The sequence below is a fragment of the Homo sapiens genome, chromosome 15 (genome assembly GCF_000001405.40).
Source record: "Homo sapiens chromosome 15, GRCh38.p14 Primary Assembly".
Taxonomy (NCBI): domain Eukaryota; kingdom Metazoa; phylum Chordata; class Mammalia; order Primates; family Hominidae; genus Homo; species Homo sapiens.
In genome coordinates this window covers 67,384,176-67,409,505 of record NC_000015.10, presented here as the reverse complement: position 1 = coordinate 67,409,505, position 25,330 = coordinate 67,384,176, and the positions used below count along the sequence as shown (strand labels likewise).

General features: G+C 37.9%; 1 protein-coding gene and 1 long non-coding RNA gene across 12 annotated transcripts in view; one reads left to right on the top strand and one right to left on the bottom strand.

Annotated features, from left to right (window-relative positions):
* The window catches only part of IQCH-AS1 (IQCH antisense RNA 1), a 118,234-nt gene extending 112,339 nt beyond the window's left edge, over nucleotides 1-5,895 (top strand). For both annotated transcript variants that reach the window (NR_040051.1, NR_040052.1), the window contains exon 6: nucleotides 1,031-5,895. This is a non-coding gene — a long non-coding RNA (IQCH antisense RNA 1). The remainder of the gene's footprint in view (nucleotides 1-1,030) is intronic.
* Nucleotides 1-25,330, bottom strand: part of IQCH (IQ motif containing H) — a 247,019-nt gene that overhangs the window by 92,299 nt on the left and 129,390 nt on the right. For 7 of the 10 annotated variants that reach the window (NR_147832.2, NM_001322475.2, NM_001284348.2 and 4 more), the window contains 3 exons: nucleotides 24,487-24,570; nucleotides 20,500-20,675; nucleotides 9,201-9,392 (listed from right to left, as the gene is read on the bottom strand). Coding sequence is in view for 9 of the 10 variants with exons in the window: in NM_001322475.2 (NP_001309404.2) it covers nucleotides 9,201-9,392; nucleotides 20,500-20,675; nucleotides 24,487-24,570 (452 nt within the window). In the remaining variant the exon portion in view is untranslated. Of the gene's footprint in view, nucleotides 1-9,200; nucleotides 9,393-13,942; nucleotides 14,216-20,499; nucleotides 20,676-24,486; nucleotides 24,571-25,330 lie in introns of all 10 variants that reach the window. The other 3 variants (NM_001322474.2, NM_001322472.2, NM_001031715.3) reach the window with 2 other exon arrangements.

Here is a 25,330-nt window from a genome sequence, read left to right as displayed (position 1 = left end):
TTTTGTCCAACTGAGGCACATATGTTGTGCCTCCATTCCAAAGCTCAGCACAACTGCTTTGCCCCCGACCACAAACACTAGAGAGGTTCATTCCCTTTCAACTTTCCAGCACTTAAATTGCTGTATCTTTTTTCCTCTCACCACAGGGGGCTGTGGTTTTCTTTCTAGGCTCACCCTGTGCGCGCTGCATGCTGGGGGTTTCAATAGATAAAGATTAAATGCTTCTTGAAATTCTTAATTGAAATTTGCACATACACAAAGGCAGGAAAATTTTTCCCTGGGACAAAATTGCCATCATCAAAGCCCCGACAAGCCCTGTCCTTGGTTCATGGTGTATGTGAGGGCCTGCGATCCTTTTCTTTCAGGGAGTTGTTTACACTACTCCCAGAATTACTTCAACATCTGCTAAAGGAACAATTAAAGATAAATAATCCAGGGTGGTTTAAAAAAAGAAGAATATGTTCATGTTTGGGGAATGATATTAAAAAGTAGTTACAGCAGCAAGTGACTGGTGTTTTAGAAACGTTTTTAACATTGGAAAATGGTTTTAAGGAAATTATATTAAAATATAAGAGTGATATCAAGTAAATACATATGACTGTTCTAAGATCATGCAATATTTTAAAGCAGAAACCATGTGGTTTTAAAATCAGCCATAAGTAGAAGTAGCCATAATTATCATTACTGGTAATAGGGTCTTTCTTTCCAGTTAGAGAAATATCGCTGGTTGAGAAAATTGCATATGCTGATGAAAGCTCTTTAATTGAAAATTAAAAACAAAAGGAAACACATGTGCCCTTTGAACTTGATTTTTCATTCAAGTAGTGGGGGAGAGGAGTAAGTTTGTGGAATGAAATGAGAGACTATCAGGAGAATTTATATTTTAATTTTATGCAAAAGGAATGGGCAAGCAGTGACTTTAGTTAATCAGAGTGAAGAGCTGTGCCTTGTTTGATATTTCCACACATACAGATGCATACACTTGAGGCAGATGTAGTAGCATTATATATTGATTGTTTTCTTTCCACAGACCATGCTTGTGAAAATACCAGGACGGTAAATTAGTGAATTCCAAAGTCAGGATTTTTGTTGGATCTGGCACAGTCACAGGAAAGTCTGAGTTTTCTCAAGGGCATCCCTGTCTCACCGAGGGGCACCAAGGACAGACGACCAGAAGCAAATGGCGCAGTCACCGTCAGAGGAGAGTAAAACTCATTCTGAAACGGTTCCAAATGCCCATGCCTGCTCTGTGGTTTTCAGCAAAGCGGACCTTTCCAAAAGACCTCCAACAGGGACTTCCTGGATGTGAGAACACTAACCAATTCTCGTTCCTCTCATCTTTTGCTTTATTCCTTCCTTCCATGCTGTTATTGCGAAAAACTGGTAGTTAAATTCAATTGATTCAAAATATTCGGGATCCATATGGCCGCCAACCCTGGAGCTGAAGCGGCGATAGCGCCTCACTGCTGTTTTCAAGCATTTGCCTCTCCTCCAGTCCCCAGATGGTGGGAGTAACATTTAAACCTCCTTTTCTCTGCCTTGTACAATAGACCTTGGCACCATTTCAACTGTTTACTCCGGTAATTAACAGCTCTGATACCACAACAATTACAACTCCTACACTCTCACCACAATAATGCTATGAATTAGTGAGAGCTAATGGCTGGAAGGTAGAGTGTTTCCAGACTGTGGGATCTGTGCATTTTTAGAATAAAATAAAAGGTACAAACAGCACGCTTGCAGTAGACAATGATTACCTAGTAATTAGTTTACACAAAGCTTCCTATTTAATGGCAAAACGCTGTAATTAACGTGTGACAGAAAATCAAAGGGTACTTTGTAAGCATATTAAAAATTAACACTGCAGGCCCATAGCTTTATGTACTGATTAGAAGCATATTAAATCAATAGGACACACAAACCAACAGCTTGGGTAGCTGATTATTATAGGTCCTCAGAAGGGGTACCCTGGCTTTCATTTCACTTGGGGAGGCAATTTTCCTTCTCCTGTCATCTTCCTCAGGCACAGAGAAACACCTCAAACTCAACCCTGGCAGCTTCATGAAAATAACCACTGAACTGGAAGAAAACATTCTAAGTCATTCTCAGAGATGAAGACAAATATGTAAATGATTAAGACTTTCCAATGATTGTGGTGACGTGCTGCTACACTAATTAGAAAATACACCAACTGGAACCAGAAAATAAAGCCACTGGGTTGCAATCTTCCGGTCAGAATAATCTCTACTTTGTCAAGCCTCTTTATTCAACTCATAGAAAGTTCAAATAAATGGAACTGTTTTATATTTCTAAATGATAAGAAAGCAGGCTGCTATGAAGACTTATTCTTTCCAAGGCACTGTCTGGGTAAAGCATAGGCTGGGAACAACTGGATCAACCAACATTCTGTATCTTCAACAGCCACAACCCCATATAATGATGGCTGATGGACATAGACAGCAATATCCTGGAAGCCTACCAGAGCCTAAAGAACCTTCTGAATCACCAAAGAAAGATTAAGTTGTATGTACTTGTTCAATGTTACCTGTATTTTGTTATAATACAATTTTATGGTAATAATAACAACAATAATAATAGGTAGCATTTCTTAAAGTCTTATTATGTGCTAAGCACACTGCTAGCCAATTCATAGAATTATCTCATTTACTTGTCACCACTTCCCCATGAGACAGGTACTAATCTCTCTTTACAGATAGAGAAAGGGAGACTTGGAGAGCTGAAGTAATTTGCCTATAGTTATCCCCCAGGGAGCATGGGAGTCTAACCTAGGTGTCCCTGGCTATGGAACCCCAGGAAGCCAAACTACCTCTTAGTTACCCTGAATGACTAGCCTGTTCCAACACTCATTCTGCTTAAAAGGCAGTTTACTATGTCAACCTGGAATAGGAGACTAAAAAAATTAAAACAAAAACAAAATATTTGGTTGCTTATTTTTTTAAAAAACAGGGTGTTTCTGCTTTTAGAGATAGGAGTCTTGTTCTGTCACCCAGGCTGGAGAGTGGTGGTGCAGTCATGACTCATTGCAGCCTCAAACTCCTGGGCTCGAGTGATCCTCTTTCTTCAGGCTCCTAAGTAGCTGGAACTACAGGCACACACCTAATTTTTAAATTTTTTGTAGAGATAGGGTCTCACTATATTGCCCAGGCTGGTCTTGAACTCCTGGCCTCAAGCCAACTCCCACCTCAGCCTTCCAAAGTGTTGGGATTACAAAATATTACAGGAGTGATCGACTGCACTGGGCTAAAAACAAGGGTTTTAAATGCTTACCATATTTTTAATGCTACATCTGATTGTGAAGGTGGGCTACTCAAAGCTTTTTGGGAATTTACAGGCTCACTAAAATGATCACGATAGTGTATTAAATTGAGAAAGGCATTGAAAATCTGTCATTCCCATGAACAACCAAAGGGTGATGTCTAAAATTCTCTCTCATCACCCATGCACATAACCAGGTATATGAGGCAGTTGGGTTGCAAGAGCTGAATCCTAGAAACTCCTAGGCAGGGCTCCTCCTCTCCAGCTCTGAGGTGTGTGTATTGATGGCCCCCTACACCTCCCAGTTTGCTGCCTTGTGGGAAAAGGAGACCAGCTCTTCTGTTATCTAGGAAAGGGAAGAAATTTGAGAGCAGTGGCCTCTGTGTTCCAGGAATATTTGCGTTTCCCACAAATCTCTGGAAAGCAGAAAGCTTGCCACAAGGGCAGCACACGGTATGAGTCACAAAGGCAAGGACCTGAGGGAGAACACTTCCCAGGACTTTCAAATAAGGTCTTTCCTAAATGTACTTGGCTCAGTGTGGCAAAAGCACTGGGCTAGCAGCAGTCAGATGTGGGTTCAAAGCAAGGCACAATCATTTATTAGCTATAAATTTGGGCAAGTCACTTCTTGAGAATAAGTTTCTTCATCTGTAAACAGAAGTAATACCTTCCTTATATCTTAAATTGGTGTGGAAGTAAATGAGTAAAAACCTCAGGGTTTTTCTGAGTTTAAATGAGACAATTCATGTAACGTGCTTAGCACAATACCTGGTACCCAGTAGGTACTCTGCAGTATTTATTGATGATGATGATGATGATGATGATGATGATGATGATGACAAAGAAATACAAGGAAATGTCAACACCTTAACAGTGCATTCATAGATCTACAAAATGCTTAATCTCAGTGTTCTGGCAACCACTAAATACATAAAGATAATCTAAGACATCAAGATTTCAACATATAAAAATAAATATAAAAACAAGTGAACAATAATCATTTATATGTAGTTTCATGACTGGAAAAAATAATAACCTAGATTTTTTCTTAACCTAGAAAATCTAGATTAAAAAATAAAGATCTTGCATTTTTGATATAAAACACAAATAATAAGGACATGAAAAAAGAATATCCCTTGCTAGTAATCAAATAATAGCAATGAGAAGCTGGATTCTTATATCTAAAATAAAAGTGCAAATAGTTCATAATATCCATTGGTGGTAAGGTTGTGGTAAAACTAGTATTCTTATTCTCTGCCAGTTGCTTTGGAAATTGGTACTATCTTTTTAGGAATATGGCAATATGTAACAAAAGCCATAAAATATTCTACTCCTGGGTCTTTCTCCTCGGGAAGTAACTCAACAGAAGCAAAAAGAGGTGTATACAAAAACCAAATATAAAAACAAACAAATCTTTCCTCCCTCTTTCCTCCCACTGCCAAAAAATGAAAGCTGGGAATAGCCTAAATTTCCAACTTAGTTGAATTGTTCAATATATTAGAGTTCATCAATATGAGAGAATATTATGCATCTAATAATTGTGACGACTATGTATAAACATGGAAAATATTTAAGATCTGATGTTTAACTAGCATATACACTATTATTGTAGCTATGAGAAAGAAATACTGCATATTTAGAAATTAATATACAAAAATGAAAACAACTATGTTTGGGGACAGTGATTATGTACTTTTAAATTTTTTTTAATCTTGTTATCTTTAAACTTTTCTAAAAATGATGTGATTACAAGCAATGGCTCTTTGGGATCACCTAATAAATACCTACTAAATTCTAGACGGGACAACGAGCTCTGCCATCCTGCAATGGCTCCTGTGACCTAGTTCCAGGGCCATTCTGAATGGACAGAGGTCTTCACAATGGAGGTGGAGATGCAGGGAGCTCTATGGCATGAAATGGTTAATGATTCTCTTTTGTAATTGTGTTTTCTGTTTGCTGCCTTAGTTCTAAAAGGAGGCAAAACAACTGTGGTTTATTCTACCTTTTCCAGGCATAGTTCTTCTCCTACCTTTGTGATCCCCAAATTAATATCAAATGTCTAATTAGTTTTTTTCTCCATTGGTGATCCCCAAATTAATATCAAATGTCAGACAAAGTAAATCAAAGTACAAATAAAGGTAAAACTGCTCTTGCAAAGGGCTAAAATAGCAATGTTTACTAGAAGCATTCAAGAGCCAGTTCAATTTCCTATTTCTCATTAAGTGGTAAAATAGTAATGCCAAGACCACATCCCAGAATCTCCAGGGTAACAGAGGCCCAACGAAGGGCTGCAGAGAAACTTGAAAGTAAACTGGCTTAGTTCTTTACACACAGAAATTGTTCTACAAAGATCTCTTGCAAAGCAGTGTCACCAGTAGCATCACTGCCACTAAGCCAATGTCCCAGGAATTGAGGAAAGGAAGACACCCTTAAAGAAAAAAATGGAAAAAAGCCACAAGGACTGGTACCACAGTAAATGTCTGCCTGGGTCTCCCTAAACTGTCTTAGGTGAGCTTACCCAGGAATGTTTCTCCCCTACATGTTTGCCTTCCTTTGTTTAAGCCTTTATTCCTCCTAAATGAAAATAAATACCCCCGACTGGGGAACGTGGAGTTTGGAGTGTGTGCAAGAGTGTGGATTCATTAAAACTTAACGAGCAGAGTACTTAAGTGAATGAGTTTACTGGAACTTGTTGGGGGAAGTAGGTTTTGTTAGCTGGTAGGATGAAGAGAATAGGCTTGGTACCAAGTCACCAAGAAAAAAATGATAGAGTGTGTTCTGTTTTCATTTTGGCCATCATGTAACATTCTGCTTTTCCTAAAAATCACCTACATGTCTCTACTGATTTTTTTTTAACCGTGACTACAACTTTTCAGCATCTGCTGACTTCAGGACTATTTTAATTCTCAACTATAACCAGCCAGATAACTCTGGTTCCAAATTACATAGGTGAAAAAAGAGATGACTTTTTTTTTTTTTTGAGACAGTGTCTCACTCTGTCGCCCAGGCTGGAGTGCAGTGGTGTGATCTCGGCTCACTGCAACCTCTGTCTCCTGGGTTCAAGCAATTCTCCTGCCTCAGCCTCCCAAGTAGCTGGTACTACAGGCATGCACCACCAGCCCCGACTAATTTTTTTGTATTTTTAGTAGAGACGAGGTTTCACTATGTTGGCCAGGCTGGCCTGGAACTCCTGACCTCAGGTGATTCACCCGCCTTGGCCTCCCAGAGTGCTAGGATTACAGGCATGAGCCACCATGCCCGGCCCAGATGATCTTTATATTAGATACTTGAGTCTGCACTGAATCTTGTCTACATCTAAAACCAATATCTGCATAAGATGCAAGAGAATCTCAAGAGTTCAAGCTCCCATAAACAGCACTGTTTTTAATCTGTTGCCTACAACATACCAATGAGAAAAATCACGGTATCGTATCATAAACTGCTATGCAAGTGATGCTATTTGTAAGTATTAACATAATTTAGTGCTTACAGTCATATTCTCCTTTCTAATAATTCTCCCAGAATGGAGTCTTTCTCTGGACTCTTAGCCTGCAGGATAGTCTTTCATCAAGAAGCTGAAATTTTTAATAACCTGCCAGCATATGTTTTGTATGTGCCAGGCTAGGCTTGATGACACAACATCTTCATTATCAAAAGAAACAGGTCTACAAACTGTAATAGGACATTAAAACATGCCTGTGCTCGTAAAGTAATGCTTTGATGTCTAAATGTGCACCATTACGATGGTCTTCTGGAACAAAGGAGAATTCTAATCCTAAATTCTCAATAGCTACACTCAATGGAGACTGCAGCTCACCTCCACTCCGAATATGATTTCACTTTGAAGGCAAAAGAATGTCAATAGGCTCCTACAAAAAAAGAGGCACCTTTTCAGAACTACTTTATTTTTATTTTTGGCTTCAGATCATGGCTAAGCACTGGCCTCAGACTGTAAGGAGATTTCTGAATAATTATATTTTCCTTGTTAAGTTTTAAAAAATGATTTAGTTAGATTATTAATTATTCAAGAGCTTTGCATTTAATAACATTAACAACAGTGCCAAATGTATTTGGTGCCAATTAAAAATGCTACGGTTTAAAATAACTGAAATTTAAATAATGCACAATGAGGCTTCTAAATACAATTCAGCCAAATGTCAGTATTTTAAATATTTTTTAAAGTCAAACATTTCAAATTTATCATAGTGTAATGTCAAGAGAATTCTTTAAAAATTATTGGTTTGAAATACTGAAGCCAACAAATACTTTGCACATTAACACTTCAATGTTTTAAATTAAAAAACCATATTTTTATGGTTTAATCTTAACAGTGTTGCTTTAAAAAAAATCTATACAATACGAAATAAAATCCAGTTCAAAGAGAATATAAGGGAAATCTCTATGGGCCTCAAAATTAAATACATTTTCTTTGTTTTTATCTTTATCTAGAAGAGTAATTCATTTTGGTGTCTTTTAAATAATATGTAAAAAGCTGGCCATGACAGGTACTGCATTTAGTCCATTTACTGATGGAGGGGAGAAACGAAGCCCAGAATAGATCATGGGGAAACCAGTCACATTTGTCAAAGGGAACTCTCTCTCCTGACTGTTCAATAGATTTATTCATCACTCCACTTTCCAAGAATAATGTGGTTCCCTCAAGTGTGCCCCTCCCTCTCTATCACTTGTGTCTTGATTCATATACTTCCGTAGCGGGATGCTCAAAGCAGACGCAAATCACTTTGCATAGCCCACTGCTATGTATGCTGGTAGGGAAGGAACCAGTTAAGGGAATTTGCATTGTGATTTTCCTAATCGGTTATGCTTTAACCAGCAGGTCAGCCAAAACAGATATTTGGGATTAAGAGAAGCCAGGCAAGACTGGGGATTTCTGGATGAAAAGCAAGATAGTTTTAGAATGGCAGGTTTAATTTATATATTAAACCATATAAAATTACTTTAATTAAGCAAATTTGGAAGGGACTAAAAGGTTGTACGATTCATCCCTTCACAAATGTGCATGGAAAAAATCTATACACGTCCATTCATGCTAAGACTTCTTACCTACAGCTCAGCTTTTGCTGGGAGATTTTCTGGCTGGAATGTACTATTTTCTCAGCATCTCACAGGGACCAGCACTTACATAAATTTCCTTGAATTGTCTTCAAAAACACATGACTGCTGACAGAATGCTATTATACATTAGCTTCCAGGTGACAACAATTCACTAATAGAATTTCTATCTCATAATAAAATACAGCTAGCTTAACAACAACAGTTGTTAGAAGCACATGATCAAGAACCACTTAGGGCAAATTATAAGATTTGTAATGTTACCTGAATGTGATAAAAAAAATTACTTCCTAATTATCATAATCAATTTCAAGATGTGAATAAGGACTTTTAGGGCCCAGAGAAGAAACACTGAAAATAACCCAAATTGTGGCTCATACTTGTAATCCCAGCACTTTGGGAGGCTAAGATGGGTGTATCGTTTGAGCTCAGGAGTTCGAGACCAGCCTGAGCAACATAAGGAGACCCTCCCCGTCCCAATAAAAAAAAAAGAAAAAAGAAAAATTTAGCCAGGCATGGTGGCGCATGCCTGTAGTCCCCACTACTCAGAAGGCTGAGGTGGAAGGATCCCTTGAGCCAGGGAGGCAGAGGTTACAGTGAGCCCTGATTGTACCACTGCACTCCAGCCTGGGCAACAGAGTGAGGCCCCATCTCAAAAAAAAAAAGAAAAAAAAGAACTCAGTCAATCCCATTCATTGTGTATATAAGGAAAAAGGTCCCAAGAAAGGCACTGCTGGCAGGTGACAGAGCTAAGTAGAGAGGAAAGTACTTTCATCTCTTAGCTGAACTTTTTGCTTCGTCCCCTAACTGTTCACAGACCCTGCGGGTTTAAGTCACCATTGAATACTCACTTGTGCCCATTTCTTTCTCCAGTCTTCAAGGCCATATCTGCTACTCTCCTTTAGCACCCATTTGTAGCACTTTAGGTAGGAAGGAATATCACAAAATGCAGTCCCATTTCCTCGGAACTCAGAGTCCATTTTAAAGAGCCAACGCTGTATTTGCAGGTGATCAGTTATCAGCTGACTCAGCTGCTCTATCATCTGTGAGGCCAAAGACACAGCTGCATTTAATACAGTTCATTTCCTGGGATTCCTTTTTATCGTAACAACTTAGTTGCTGTACTTCTCATGTGTCTTTACTTCTAATGGTCTGTTCATTTGGTTATCTTCTAGTTATTAAGACAGATTAAAGAAGTTTAAAGTGATATAAATATGATGCGAAGAAACCATTAACCAATGAGACCAAAGACATGTTTAAAAGCACAGTCTTATTTGAGAAATTCTGAAATTATCATTTTGCTGGCTTCTGAAGGCAAAAGAAAGAATCCTTGAATGCCTGTAATTGAATCTTGATATTGTTTTCTTTCTTTTTCAGAGAATTATGCATTTACTTATTGATTCCTCAAATGATGTTTTAATTGTTTCAAGACTAGAAAGAGTTACAGTCTTGAAAACTTTAACTGTTTGGGGCTTTGTTGAGCTTTTTACTGCTATAAACTATAAAACATTTAATTTTTTCCTCATTAATGTACATGAAATACATTTGTTTGGCTGGCCAATTGGCCAAGTTTAGTATATGTGTGATATAAACACATATATTTTAGAACAAGACAGATAAAGGAGATAAAACATTTGTGAAAGCAAACTTCCTGGAATACACACCTACTTGACATTTTATTTGAAACATTTCCTCAAGAACTGGGCTCAAACACATGGGAGCTTAAGGGATAGAACAGTACTCCAAGCTCTAGTATCATAATAATGATGATAATGGTCTCTAAGATAACTGAACTCTCAGTAGGAGACAGGCCTTGGCTCATGTCAGTTCTTTGCATGAATTTTCTCATTTAATACCATAATCTATGAGGTGGACACAATTACTAGTTTTCTTTTATATGTAAATAAACTGAGGTTCTGCTAATTTAAATAACTTTCCCACAATCACACAGCATTGAGTAGCAGAGTAGGAATTCCATTCAAGTTGCTTTGACTCCAAAACCTATGCTCATTCCCTCTTTACTGTGCTGCCTATCCCAACCCACAGAGAGGTGGAGAAGGGTGAAGTAGAGAAAGAAGTCAGAAGAGGAGCAAGAGAAGCCACTTTCCTTACACTCAATAAGCCATTTGGGGTGAGTTTGAATCAGATAAAAGTCTATAGCAAGATGACTTAATTATAAGTAATACTCACCTGGCAGAGCCTGGGAGAAAAATACCTCATTAACTCACAAAACGATTTTTCTGTCTTGTCTTCTTATCAGACTTTCCAGTCTATACTTCCCAGAAAGCAACAAAATAACACTAAGCTTTTTGTCTCCAGAGCCTTCCCATGCTGTTCTTGGCTATGGTTTTCTGTACGGAAGGATTCTGTGACACTCTTATCCTCTTTTTTGATCAGATCTCTTTGCCCACAATTTTTTTTTTTTTTAACTAAAGAGTGTGAAAGGACTCATGATTTACAGTTCTGTTGAGGTTTGGAGCTACCAGATTAAAGTTATTTTGATTAAAGGCCTGATCTGTTCTTCTGGGTTGTATCTGTCCAGCAAATCTTCCTGGGGATACTATACTACATGGCAGTGTGGAAGAGACAGCAAAATGGCCATACTTGGGTTCTCTGGAAACCTCATACAACTATGGGGTATTCAGTGAGGGTGAAAATTAAAATTGTCTTAGCTCCCTAATTATCAAGTAGTGTTTATTGATGATTTGGGTGTTTAAATGACAGAACTCTGGTCTACAAACCATATGGTGATGAACACAGCCTAGGAAGGTTTTTTAAATATGCCTTCCAAAGTTGTTTCCTTATTTCTCTAATGTGTTGAGAATATAGATTTTATATTTAATAATATTTTGCTGTATTATGATCACACTTTGCAGAAGTAGAAATGGTCTTTGGCCTGTTAACATCAGATAAAATTCTTTTGCTAGTGTAAGGAAAGGTGTTCTGGCATAGATTTTTTAAAAATTACATATTTAGATATATTATATATTTGCAGGTTTCGACTACTAACAGAATTATTATCTATTTCTTCCAAATCCTATTATTTGTTGCTTCTGAGAATCCTATAAATGGGCATCTGTTGATGGATCCCCTACAGTAATGAAAAGGATCAATAGTATTGTAAAGATTGCACCACTGGAAAGAATTATGTGCTATCTTTAAGTGAAAATTGAACAGTGCTTTAAAATAGCATCTCCATTTTTGATTATTTAACCAAAGCTGTCAATATTTCCCATGGAGCATGTTCCAGAAAGAGAACTTTCACAGTTACTTTATGGATCAAAACAGGAAATGCTCACTGTGTTCATGCTAGATTTAAACAAATTAATCCTAAACAAAATGACTTTATGCTATTTCCAAATGTTTATCATTTTTGTTTGAGTCTATCTGTTCAAAAGATGTAATAAATTTTTTTAGCTGTGATTTGTTTTATCCTGGTAAAGAGCAGAAAAATACTGCTAAAGTCCAACTGAAAGTCAGAAATAATAACCTAAGTTAAAATAATCGCAGCTTTCTTTCACCAGCTTTAAGTTTATGATGCACATCGGTAAAAAGTCAGTGTTATTGATTCATCCCCATCTGCAGATTCAAAATGCTGACATGCTCAGATAGAATAGATAGGGTAGTCACTATCTGGAAAAATCTCAGTGGAGTATTTTAATTCTTGATGACCTCAGATGTATGTTTTCCAAACAAGTAGAGTAGAACTCAGTGAAATATTGGTTTATTGTTATACAATTTGCACATACCATAGGTCAAATGACATCTCTCAAATCTGATGTGTCTCTAAGGAGGTTTTTAGTCATACTTCTGAATACTAGCACTAGAGGGAGATTTTACTGCATTAAATGTGCCTGCATCTTTAACTACAATCAACATATGCGGTTCTGAAATATTTCATAGCAAAGATTGCCTGAGATTTCCTCAGTGAAGATGAAGGCAAGACTCAATATAAACATTGCACATACATGTTAAAGCTTTGAAGGTTGTTTAATGTATAGTACATGTGTGTAATAATATAATTTAAAATTTTATTTTGCTTGTAATAAGTATAACAGCCAGATATTCTGCTGTGAAGCAGAGTCAAGCAATCTACCTTGTTATCTTCAAATTCCAGTGGTGGCTAATGACAATGGAAGTGACATAACAGCTCAGGAGGAGCCTCTCTATTCCACTCCTACTAAAATTGCCTGCGACTGTCCTAGGTTGTGATACCGTTAAGAGAAACCTCCTTCATAAGCCCATGAACATTGCCCAAGAATACTCTAACAAGAGTGAAATACTTGCTGGCAATTTAATAAGCTAATAGTATCTTCAAACTAATCTCTGCAAAGTATGATTTGTTGAAAGGCTAGATTTTTGAGCTCAGTGGCTGTGAGGTGCAGAGCATCATGATCAGGCAACTGAGAGTAGGAGGGGATCCCTAAATATTGTCCCTCACAAACTGACTCACTGTGCACTGTTCTCTGGTTTCCCAACAAGTGGGTAGGGGGGATAATTTGTGATTGGCTCAGAGTAATGGTCAAGAGGTGTACTGAAACAGAGGTTAGGAAATGTTAACAGCCATTTGTCTTTTAATTTTCTCTATTATGAAAACAGATGGCAGTTAAATGGGAGAACATCTGCCAGGGCTAACTCAAAGAGAAAACATTTCTAGTGGCTAATACATTTCTCCCCATGTTTTAGACCCTGACTATCTGCTGGAAGAATGCATAGCCACACACTTGGTCCAAGGCAAAACGAAAACAGACAGTTTTATTCCTGGAGCTGTCTTACTTCCCCAGTTTTATTCCTGGAGCTGTCTTACTTCCCCCTTCTGAGATCTTTCCCCTCCTCCATTTCGATCGCTTCCTGAAGAGCGAAGGAAGTCTGCAGCCCTCTGTTCACAGGCCCTCTGCAATCTGACCCAGTGGGGAGGCTCACTCACTGGAGTTTTCCAAACCCACTGCTTTTAGCGAAAACTGACTCTCCTATTTCTTAGGATCCTATTTAATGACTGGCAAGCTGATATGATGATGAATTAATCCATGTTAAAGCATTAAATATTGATAGCAGATTAGTCCAAATGATATATACATTTTAACAGTGCTTATTCCAAATGAGTAAATAGTTTGGAAATTCCAGCAATTTCTGCAAGACTAACAGGAAAATACTTTAAAACACAAAGTTCTAAAGTAGATTCCCTCAGGCTGGGCGTAGTGGCTCACGCTGGTAATCCCAGCACTTTGGGAGGCTGAGGTGGGCAGATCACTAGAGGTCAGGAGTTCGAGACCAGCCTGGCCAACATGGTGAAACCCCATCTCTACTAAAAATACAAAAATTAGCTGGAAGTCACAGAAACTGGGAGGTGGAGGTTGCAGTGAGCCAAGATCACACCACTGCCCTCCAGCCTGGATGACAGAGTGAGACTCCATCTCAAAAATAAATAAATAAATAAATAAATAAATAAATAAAGTAGATTCCCTCAAATCAACTCAAATATTCCACCTATTCTTCATTGGGTAGGTCTGGCTCCAGAAGACTTGGAAATTGTCCAAGATCAAGAGGATGTTTCAAATATTTGAACAGAGCTTCACTTGTCCACCCCACATACCTGTTGCTGACTATAAATATCATATATTCCAGGAGGAACTGCCACATTGGCACTGTCAAAGACACGTTTGCCTCCAGATTTGGTACTATAAAGATGAGCTAGTTCAGGCTCAGAGCCCAGGATGGGTATGTCTAACATATCGGCCACAGCTAAATCATCTCTGTGGAGGAGCCCGCTGACGATGTAGGCCTCTGTTCCTCGGATGAGATTTTTTATTCTTTTGATTGCCTTGGGACTGTACATCAGGTGAGTGGCCAGGCACATATGATGCTTCTGGGGGAAGATCATATTATTCTTGTTAAAAGGTGTCCTTTTTTCTAGTCCATACACCTAATTTATAATGTTGCACATAATAAATACATTATTAATAGCAGGCTGGGTTATGACCTATCCTGTTGTTTAGCAGTTTAAATTGATAAAAGCTGTTGGGGTGAGGTTCCATAATCGCTCACATCTTTAGTGTGTTGGAAATAGGCTCACTGGGAATAGAACTAATTACTACACGTCTGTATTTATTTGATCCACGTGGAATTATCCTTCTGTCAGAAGGAAAAGAGGCTGGCGGCCTTTGGGTAATAGCAAGTCATCTCTGCAACACTTCTGGCATGGTTTAACATTAAAGTGTCTGGAAAATCAATACAAAAAATGAAGAAAAAAGCCTCATAACATTCTTTACTTTATAAATTCCTACCACGGCAACTCTTTAAATGCTTGAGTAGGAAAAAGGCACTTGACCCGACACCCTCCTTCCAAAATTCTACCACTAAATCTGCTTCAGATAATATGCACTTTTATAATGATTATCATGGTTCTAGGCAACAACTCTGGAAAGGATTCACAAATAGAAAATAATTGAAAATTTCAGCAAGACTCAAATTCATTTTTCAGTGAAAAACTCTTTTTGTTTTATTTTTGACTAGTTAGTCCCAGCTCAGCAATACATGTGACTGTCTCATTCAATTAAATAAATAATTCTAGCTAGTCTAATGGGGGCAGAGAAAACAGCATACACCAAAACTAACACAACCATGTTTCTGTTTTTGAGGGGTGGGGACACAAATAACAGTTAACACATAACTGAGATGGGGCAGAGAAGGGCCATAAGGATCTGCCGAGTACTCAAGAGGCCTGCTGGTGGGGAATGCTGAAAAGGCAAATACACATTCTCCTTGTGCCTGTTTCCTCATCTGTAAAATGAGTGTAATAACAGTATCTACCTCATAAGGATGCTGTAAGGATTAAATGAGATAATGTATGTAAAGCACTTATAATAGTGCCTTGGATACAATAAAGACTTAATGAATGTTAGCTAGTACTATTATTATGAAAGAGGTTGGGGTTGAGGTGAATTCTGAAGGATGGGTGGGATTTTATCAGGTGAAGATGGGCATGGGAAAGACATTACCTAAGGATAGAATAAAATAATCCAAGATTGTTTTCCTCCCTCTAGAGAAGAGGGCAGCATGGCACACAGGAAAGTGATGGGGCTTTGGAGTGAAACAGGTCTGGCTTTGAATTCAGCTCTATCACTTATAAGGCTCCATTAATGTAGGCAAGTAACTTAGACCCCCTGAGCCTATTTCTTCACCTGTTAGATAAGAATAAAAATTACCCATTTGCTGGGGTTGCTCTAAGGCTTTTAAAATAAGATCACAAATGTAAAATACCTAGTATAATACACAGCATTGATACTCAACAAATGGTAATAGTTATTATTACAGAGAAAACCCTCTTAAAAATAAAGTCAGGCTAGGCACCGTGGCTCATACCTGTAATCCCAGTACTTTAGGGGAGGCCATGGCAGGCAGATCACTTGAGCCCAGGACTTTCAGACCAGCCTGGGCAACGTGGCAAAACCCCCTATCTACAAAAAAATTAGCCAGGTATGTGGTGGTACACACCTGTGGTCCCAGCTACTAAAAGCCTGAGGCAGGAGAATTGCTTGAGCCAGGGAGGTCAAGGCTGCAGTGAACCGAGATCATGCCACTGCACTCCAGCCTGGGTGACACAATAAGACCCTGTCTCAAAAAAATAAAAAATAAAAATAAAGTCATTAAAATGTTATGCAAATAATATAATGTAAAAGTGCCAGGGTCTCAAGGGAGTTGAAAGGATTTTTATAGACTAGCATCTACTACCCCAATTCTAGTGAAAAATTATCTACTCACTGCAGCATAAAAATATGGAGAAATGCTAAGTGATTGTTTCAAGGAATATCAGATGCACCAGTTTGCAAATTGTCGGAGAGTATAACTCCTGAGTATGGGAGAAAGAGAACTAGACTGGGGAGAACACCTGCATTTCAGTCCTGAATTTGTAATTTGCTAGGTGATTTAGAAAACTCAACCTTTCTGAGTCTCAATTTCTCATATTCAAATGAGGGGTTGGATTAGAAGTCTCTAGGGTCCTTTCAGCTCTGAAATAACTTTCCCTTTAAAACAAGAGCTCTTTTGGACTTATTGCTTAATGGGTACAGAGTTTCTTCTTGGGATGATAAAAAGTTCTGAAATTGATAGTGGTAATGGTTGTACAACAATGTGAATGTACTTAATGCCACTAAACTGTACACTTAAAAATGGTTAAAATGGTAAATTTTGTGTTATATATATTTTACCACAATTTTAAAAGGCAAAAAACAGAGCTCCTCTGAGAAGAGGATTTACATGATTTCCCCTATTGGGCCCTTCCTCCAGATTAGGTGTTCTATTCCAAGTTCCTTAGATCTATGCGATATGCCTTTTCTACCATAATTTGAAATCCTTTTTTTTTTTTTTTTTTGTGGAAGCAGGGACAGAGTCTCACTCTGTCACCCAGGCTGGAGTGCAGTGGTGCAAACACAGCTCCCTGCAGCCTTGACCTCCCAAGCTCAAGCGATCCTCCCATCTTAGCCCCTCAAGCAGCTGGGACTATAGGTGCATGCCACCATGCCCAGCTAATTTTTGTATTTTTTGTAGAGACCGAGTTCTGTCATGTTGCCCAGGCTGGTCGCAAACTCCTGAGCTCAAGCGATCCACCTGCCTTGGCCTCCCAAAATGCTGAGATTACAGGTGTGAGCCACTGCACCTGGCCTTAAATCCATTTAAAAAACATACTTCTGAGGATGCAGTTCTAGGAAACTCAATGTTCCATTTGACAATGGCCAGTGATAACACCTGGCAGGTTTGTCTTTCCCATCTGGTTAGTCACTGTCTTTCTTCCTTGTTTCACTCTTTTCTTTTTCCCATAAATTATTCCAATGAAGACATGTAAAAGAAAACGAACTGAATGGGTGACTTGAGTTACGATGTCCTTGGTGAGCCTTTCAGGGCACCCAGAAGAGGATTCCAAGGCAGCAATCATGGTAAGTTCACAAGATCAAAGCCTTTGACATGTGATCTCTCATTTGATCCACATGTCACTGAATCAATTAACTATCCCTATTTTGGAGATGGGGAAATTGAGCCTCAAGTGATTTGCTCAAAGTCACACAGCTAGTAAACAGCAGAGGCAGGATTCAAACCCCGTTAACACAGTTGGCATGCCACTGCTGCCACAAGTTCCCCATTTTATCGAGTGAGTAGTAAAGATCTGGTGGGTTTTTGAGATGTGAAGGGGGATGGCAGATGCAGCAATAGAACCTAATGTTAACATTCTGAGCATATTTCCAGCCAGGATGGAGTTCTGTCTCCTCTAGGTTTGCGTGTTTCTATTGGCAAGTACTCTACCCAACTCTGTATTATAGTCATCTGCGGGCATGCCCTAGACTCCAGGCAAGATGCTGCCACAGTATTGTGTTCAATATGTGTTTAATAAAGATTTAAATGTGAATAAGTGATGGCAAAGGATGTATCACTAATCACAGGTCTTGTATGACCATTTGGAGAACATCAGTATCATCAGATCCAGGCAGTGGATTAACACAGATGACAAAATCTAAAATGTGTCTAGTTCCATTGAATTATGGCTACATTTAATTTATCACCACTGATTTTTTTTTTGACCTGAGATAAAAGGTAGTTGTTTAGGATGTCTTCATAAACACTGAAATGTCTAAAAATAGACATAATGACTTTTATAAAGAGCACATTTTACCATTACAAATTCAAGAATCATATAGTAACTTGGAGAGATGTACAAACAGATTTTTGGCATGCTTTAAAAAATCTCATAGCCATCCATTTAAATGAAAATCAGCACTGATACAATCTCTCAAACCCATTAACAACAAATAAAGCAACTACCAAACATGAACAAGAACTGATTTGAAAGTGAGAATTTAATTTTTGTATTTTTAAAAAGTTGATTGCTTATGAGTAATTACTCAAATAATTTAAACTTGAGCTATGAGAACTATTAAGTACTTAAAACCTTGCCTACTTGTTTCTACTCACAAAGATGTAAACCTATACTATGTGCATCTGTGAGTGCCTGTCTCCTGGCTTCTAGTCCACTAGAAGCCAGAGTGGACTAGCAAGGGTATGGTTCTCAGGTAATAGGATGATAGAGTTGAAGATGACTCTGAAATGATCTAATCCAGGATCTCATTTTATAGATGAGGACCAGAGGACCAGAGAAGTAAGGGGGCTTGCCCAAGGCCACAGGTCATCCAGGAGCAAGGCAGTCATTCCAACTCATGATACTGCTCTGCGGTAGAGAGATTTTGGTTCACACTCTGGCCTTACTAGTAACCTTGGACTAGAAAATGAGTCTTGGTTTCCTCAGCCATAAACGGAGATAGGTAAAAAGAGCTATCTTTCCATCTTGATGCATTCTTCTGAGAATCAAATGAGAAACTGGGCTGGGCGCGGTGGCTCACACCTGTAACCCCAGCACTTTGGGAGGCCAAGGCAGGCGGATCACTTGAGGTCAGGAGTTCGAGACCAGCCTGGCCAACATAATGAAACCCTGTCTCTACTAAAAATACAAAAATTAGCTGGGTGTGGTGGCACACACCTGTAATCCCAGCTACTCAGGAGGCTGAGGCAGGAGAATCGCTTGAACCTGGGAGGCAGAGGTTGCAGTCAGCTGAGATCACACCACTGCATTCCAGCCTGGGCAACAGAGTGAGACTCTGTCTCAAAAAAAAAGAAAAAAAGAAACTGTATGCTAAGAATTTGAAAAATGTTAGTTTTCTCACTTTTTTTCTCCCCAATCTAGTGCCCCTTCCCCATTCTATGCCTCTTTAATGTATATGGGCATTTCAGATGTGCAGAAACTCCTTACTAGCAGTTAGCAGCCATTAGATCAATTTTCTGGCTGGAGAAAATCAGGAATTTAACTAAACACTAATGGTAGTTCTTTTTCTTCCTTGCACCCTAATGTCCATAGTAACTATGTCATTGAGGCCAAGCAATAACTAGGAAGCACCAAAGAAATTCTTACATTGGTGGAGGATATTGGAAGGTTCCCAAGAATGTACATAAACGGCAGTGATTTGTCACTTGTCCTTTCTTTTGCTTCCCCAGCCCCTGTCCTTACCTTCCTCTTTCACAGTCAGAAGTGCCAATGAAACAAAACTGAGCAGAGGGTTTTTAGGGGAATACTGAGGCATCCAGTTATGAAAAAATAAAATCTTCATTTTGGTAGAAAAGAATAAACCCTGACAACAATTGACTGAGTATACCAGCAAAGTAGAAATGCTATAGAAACTCCCCCAGTCCTGGCAGGCCTTTCCTTAGGTCCCTCCCCCACCCCCATTTTTTTTTTTTTTTGGTCAAATCATGGTACATCTGAAGTGTTAATGGGTAGTCACCCAACACATAGATGTTCCCTATGTATAGCATGCAATCACGTTGGCGATAGAGAGACAGTTGACTTTGGTGCATTTCAATTGTAAATGAACACAGCTATCTTTAATTATACCAAAAAAAGTCTCCTCAAAAATGCATAGTCCATTAGGTATTAAACTGTTGGCTGGTTAACATGGAAGGTTTAAATTCTTGTTAAAGTGTAGGGAAATTCGTTTTAAGCCATCTTTTGTACTGCCTTATTCTAGAATGCTGCCTTTATCATTCCATGAATTTCCCAATGGTTCTTGTCTAGGAATAGGATTCCACTCAGAATTCATTCCATTCACTAAAAAATCAGCCCAATTAAAAAAAAAAAACCTGAACATTGTTCATTAGGAACCATCTGATATGGTAAATCGAGCCAAATTCCCCTCAGGGGAAAAAACACGGAGTACCTGTGTGGATCAGCAAAGAGAGGGCCTGGTCTAGTTCTGCTCCTAACTAGTTTTGTGACTGTGGACAGGCCCAGCCTTTCTCTGCCTTAGTGTCCTCCACACAAAATTAAGAAAAAGGAATGGTACATGTTATAAATCCACCTACTTGATGGTACCACCTAGTAACTGGAATTAGGCTACAACTACAGAGAAACTGGGCAGGGGTAGCTCCACTAAGTCTGAAAGTTAAACTGGAATATTTATTTCCTACAGACCAACTAGTAGTCTAATCAGTAAAGCTGTTAAACTTGCAATAATATTTCACTGATGTGTACCAGAGCGTTGCAAGTTATTAAAATTTCCAATTTAATTTTACTGCATCCCTGAAACCATAGTAATTAGAACACAAACTCACAGGGAAGATGTTTACAGCTTCAGGTGTGATAATTTTGAACCTGTCCTGCAGGTCACTTCTGTCCTCAAGGTTCCCAGATTTGACGGCTGCATGTAGACTTAGGATTTTTTTGTAATACAGCACTAACTCGTCATTCATATGATGGGAGCAGATGTAGATGACATTCACATTGGCATCTAAAAACAACAGGCACAATGTTAATTACTGGTGTGAAGGTAAATGACATTATGAACTCTGGCATCCGATTGGTGTTGTGCAGTTTAAAATAAAGAGCATATCCAAAACCCAGGTTAAGGTTAATTTAGTTTGGTTTTGTACTATCTGAGCAATCTAACTGGCTTTTTTACAGTTCGGCATTTCTCTAAAGAAAATATAAATAACACCACCACCAACGAAATAGATGCAATGATTCCTTCAGAAGGAGGGCTGTGAGATACCTTGGAAATGTACTTTCAAATAATACATAGGGATTTAGCCACACAACTCCCATTAACATCAATGGGAATCACATACTGCTTTAAAAATTTATTCCATTAACTTCAGTAAATTATAAAACAGAGCTACTAACTTTACAAAGCTGATGAAATTGCAATTTCTTATTCTGTATGGACTTGACAGGGTCAATTCAGGGAATGTCCTGTTGAAATAAATGGTCTGATTATAACCACAGCAATAATTATTTCAGGAAACCAGCCTTTCCCTTGCTTGATTCCCAAAGAGGAGTACATTACTTAAATAGCAGGTCTAGTGATTCTTGGTTTAAAGGAAACACCATCTTAATTTAACTTTTCTCCTTCTTAAGATGTGCTTCTTACATGTAACATAGCAAGAAACCCTAATTAAATATCCCATCCAAATGGAATAGTGAAATGAGAGTATCCACTCCATGCTGCAGAATATTTCAGGGAGTATGAATAGGAAATCAGCAGTCAATGAAGTCATTCATTTGTTCATCCATTCATTCACAAAATAGCTGACTGATCTGTAGGGGCAAAGCCCTTGGCTAAATGTGGAGGGAAATACAGTAATCATTGTGGGCACGATGAAGCATGCAGACCAGGTACTTAGAGAAGTTCAGAGGAGGGAGCACTGTAAACGTTTTCTTAGGCAAGCAGGGCAAAGAGAGGATCTTCAGACTCCTCTGATCAGTTTGGCAGAGTATATATACAGAGCATAGACTGAATTAAATTCTAGTTATTTAACCTTTCTAAGCATTCATTTCTTCATCTGTAAAAAGGGGAACAAAACCACCTGGGGCATAGAGTTTTAGACACTATTAAATGAGTGAAGATATAGAAAGTATCTGGTGCAGCATCTGGCACATAGTAAGTGCTCAAGAAACAGCACAGGTGTGTGAATGTGCTCCTGGCCCACCCTGACTAGGCTGGCCAACAGTGATTCCCCAGCTGCCCCCACACCTACATTCCTTTTGATCAGTGCAAGATTTAACATGAAGTAGTGTTCTCTGTGGTTCTATCCTATTGTTTCCAATCTATTAATCTTGTCTTTCCAAGCTCCTTAAAGGCAATGTTTGTACTATTTCTTATATTCCCCTAAGCCCTGGCACAGTGTGGAGTATGTAGGAGTCACTCAATAAACACTTCTGGACTGACTGAAGGGATGATGGAGAGATTCGCAAAGTTGGGAAGGTCTTTTACACCTAGACGCAGGGCATACATACATAGAGAAATCTCTCTAGAGACCTAGAGGGGGTGTTTTCTGAAGTGACCTAGCTAGGCCCAGAGCAGGTGCTCCATACATGTGAATATTTAAGTGGCTCCCATTTAATTTTGAAGCATAAACCTCAAAATAAATTAACTGAGGAGGCAGTAAGTAAATAACTTGCATCCAATTGCTGAATCATCAAATTAGTCATCTTAAGTCTTGTATTTTGAAGAAGAGACTAGCGTCTAACCAAATTACAGTAGAGGTTTTAAAAATCAAACTAATGAGTTTTTTTTAAGTATGAAAGAATAGGGCAGAAAAACAACAAAAATAGCTTACAGACTGTAACAGATGAAAAATAATTTTTTTCTTGGGAAGAAAATTTCTAGGTTACAAATGATAAAAGGAATCATGTTGCCAATTTCACCTTTCCTGTTAATTTCTGGCAAAGGAATACGTATCACTAACTCTAAGATTCAGTATTAGTGGGTTTTATCATGTGTTAATTTTACACATGTTCAAAATTAACTGACAGGTAATTTTGGAAAGGAATTGATACGAAGATGAAACTTTCTTTGATTGCTGGTCAGTAATCAGTCACTTCCTTGCTGAACTCATCTAGGAACTGAAAATACTAGCCATTGGGGTCTGCACCTGAGAACCATGAATTCACAGCCAATATCTAGTGACAAGCCTTACCAGTGTGACTGGATTATCTTTGTTTCCCCCGAATAAGAAGAAAAACCATAGGGGATAATAATGTATTCTTCCATAAAATTATTACTTATTTTTCTATTTTCTTCACATTTTTATTTCACAAAAAAGTACTTTTTCTTCATCTAACTACTATTTCTAAACTTTCATTACTCCTCTTGAAGACTTTTTATGATTGCCTTGCTATATCATGAAGACTATATACCAAGAAAAAAGCATTTGGTTCATAATCTCTCAGAAATGTTCATATAAGCAAAATATTCCATTGCAGGTAGAGACAGACTGAATTATTGAGTTGTTTAAAATAGAAGCCTAATACTTTCAAGTCTTTTCCAATAATGAGAATCTTTTATAAAGAAATTATTTCGTGATGGCTTATACTATATATAGAAAGAGATATAAAAAGCTGAAGAAAAAAATTAATTCAAATAAATTAGAGGAAAGTCTGCCCTCTGCTGCACTTCAGTGGTTTCCATCCAGTCAGGTTTTTAGTTGAAATAGCTTAGCACTAACAAATCAATCTTAAGTCATTAAAAATTTTTTTTGTAATGCTGAAAAACAATCTGAGTGCCTAGATAATAGATTAAAGCAATTATGATTATTATTTTAGGACACTGTAAATTTCTAGTACTGATGTATTTTTTGATACCAAATAGCATTTATAAAATAATAATGATGCTGAAATATATATGAATCATGTAAAGCATGTCATTCCAGGGAGCCAGTTAAGTTGGTCCTTGATCATTTAAAATTCTTCCTTGTTTTTCTTAAATAAGGGCCAAAGAAATTGTATTTTAACAAAGCAAAGAAGTTCTTATTTGGTAACTAATACAAATCTAATTTTTGTGTAACCTTGAATTTTTGGCAAGTATCTCACAAACAGATTCAATGTTATTGCTTAGCTTTTGCAACCTATATTCTTAGAGCCTAATCGGAACCCGGGCCTTGAACAGTGTCAACCAAAGCTATCACATTCAGGCATCCTTCTCTCCTGGCTCCAGATGGGTGTCTGATTAAGAACTGACCAAACCAGTATCAGAACCTGACTTTTACAAAGATGTATACATCACTGAATCAAGGTCTGTATTTCTAAAAATTCCCTCCATTAAGCACTTCACGTTTTCTAATAATAAGATGCTCTATATTTAAATAAAAGCTTCTTTTAAAAATCTATCTTAATTTTCCCCTTTTTCTTCTTATGAAAACACAATGCTTCATTTCTGATACCACCTTTCACACATTCCCCAGATACTATAAGAGACAAGACTGACACAAATGTAAAACTTTGACTTCACTCACTGTAAGATTCAGTAAATAAAGATTTCGGTTTATAGGAGAGAAATTCTGATCCAAACCTGCAGCAAAGATAATCTAGAAAACTGCCCAAGTAAATTGGTTAAAATGTCATTTTTTATTCAAGTTGATTTTACTACAAATATGTTTTTTAAAATAAAACATTTAATTGCCCTGTAAGTAGATTAAACATCTGAGCTTTTTCCTTGTAGAGGAAAAAAATAAGCAAAAAACAAACAAACAAAACAACACATTCTATCAACATCCACTGATAAACATTCCAAAGAGTCATTTGTGTAAAACTATTTACTGTACCTAAGATGTCACACAGCCTCCCCAGCTGCATGTTCTGCTGTGTGTTGAAATCGGCAATATGTTCTCTCACAGGCTGGGAATACCCTAAAAGGCAAACAAGGTGTCAAAACACAGAAAGAGCAAGTCGATATAGCAAAATGGCACAAGAGAATTTCAAAATGTCACAGTCCATATTTCCAGGAAAAAATTTTCTCTGAAGCATCTTACAGAAACAACCCAATCCCGAAGAATGAGGTGCTTGTTTCTCGGGGGAATTAAACATTATTCTGGAAGATGTGCTAAGCAACATACTCTGTAACAGAGGGGTTCACATTTTTCAGTACCAACAAGGCTGCTAAGAATCAAGATGACAAAACATGGAGAAAATTTCTGACATGCAATATGAATGTTTACAAGGATGTGTAAGAAAATTATGCTCAGGTTAAAAAAAATATCGTTTTGGCTTCTTAATGTGAGCTTCTTATGTGGTATTTTGAAGATGTGTTCCAGAATCATTCTAAAGTGACACATAGATTTCAGATAAATCCCTTGCTGTCAGGAATATGTATTTAAATAATTCAAATACTAAAGAAATCAGCTTCTGCTCACGGTCACAAGAACTTTTAACTTTCAAAGGGCAAGAAGAGCTAATGCAGTTACTTTGTCAGTACTAATAAAAGTCCTGCAGTTTGCCTTCATTTCCACTGGAAACGTAGCAGAAGGGAAAACACATATGAATTACTATTGTCCAAAAATCTCTCACAAAAGAAACAACAGCGGAAATACTTTCTGCTGATATTTCAGGTCATTAAAAAAAGTGAATCAAAACATAAACTTAAAAAGCATGCATACTCACAAGCAGGTA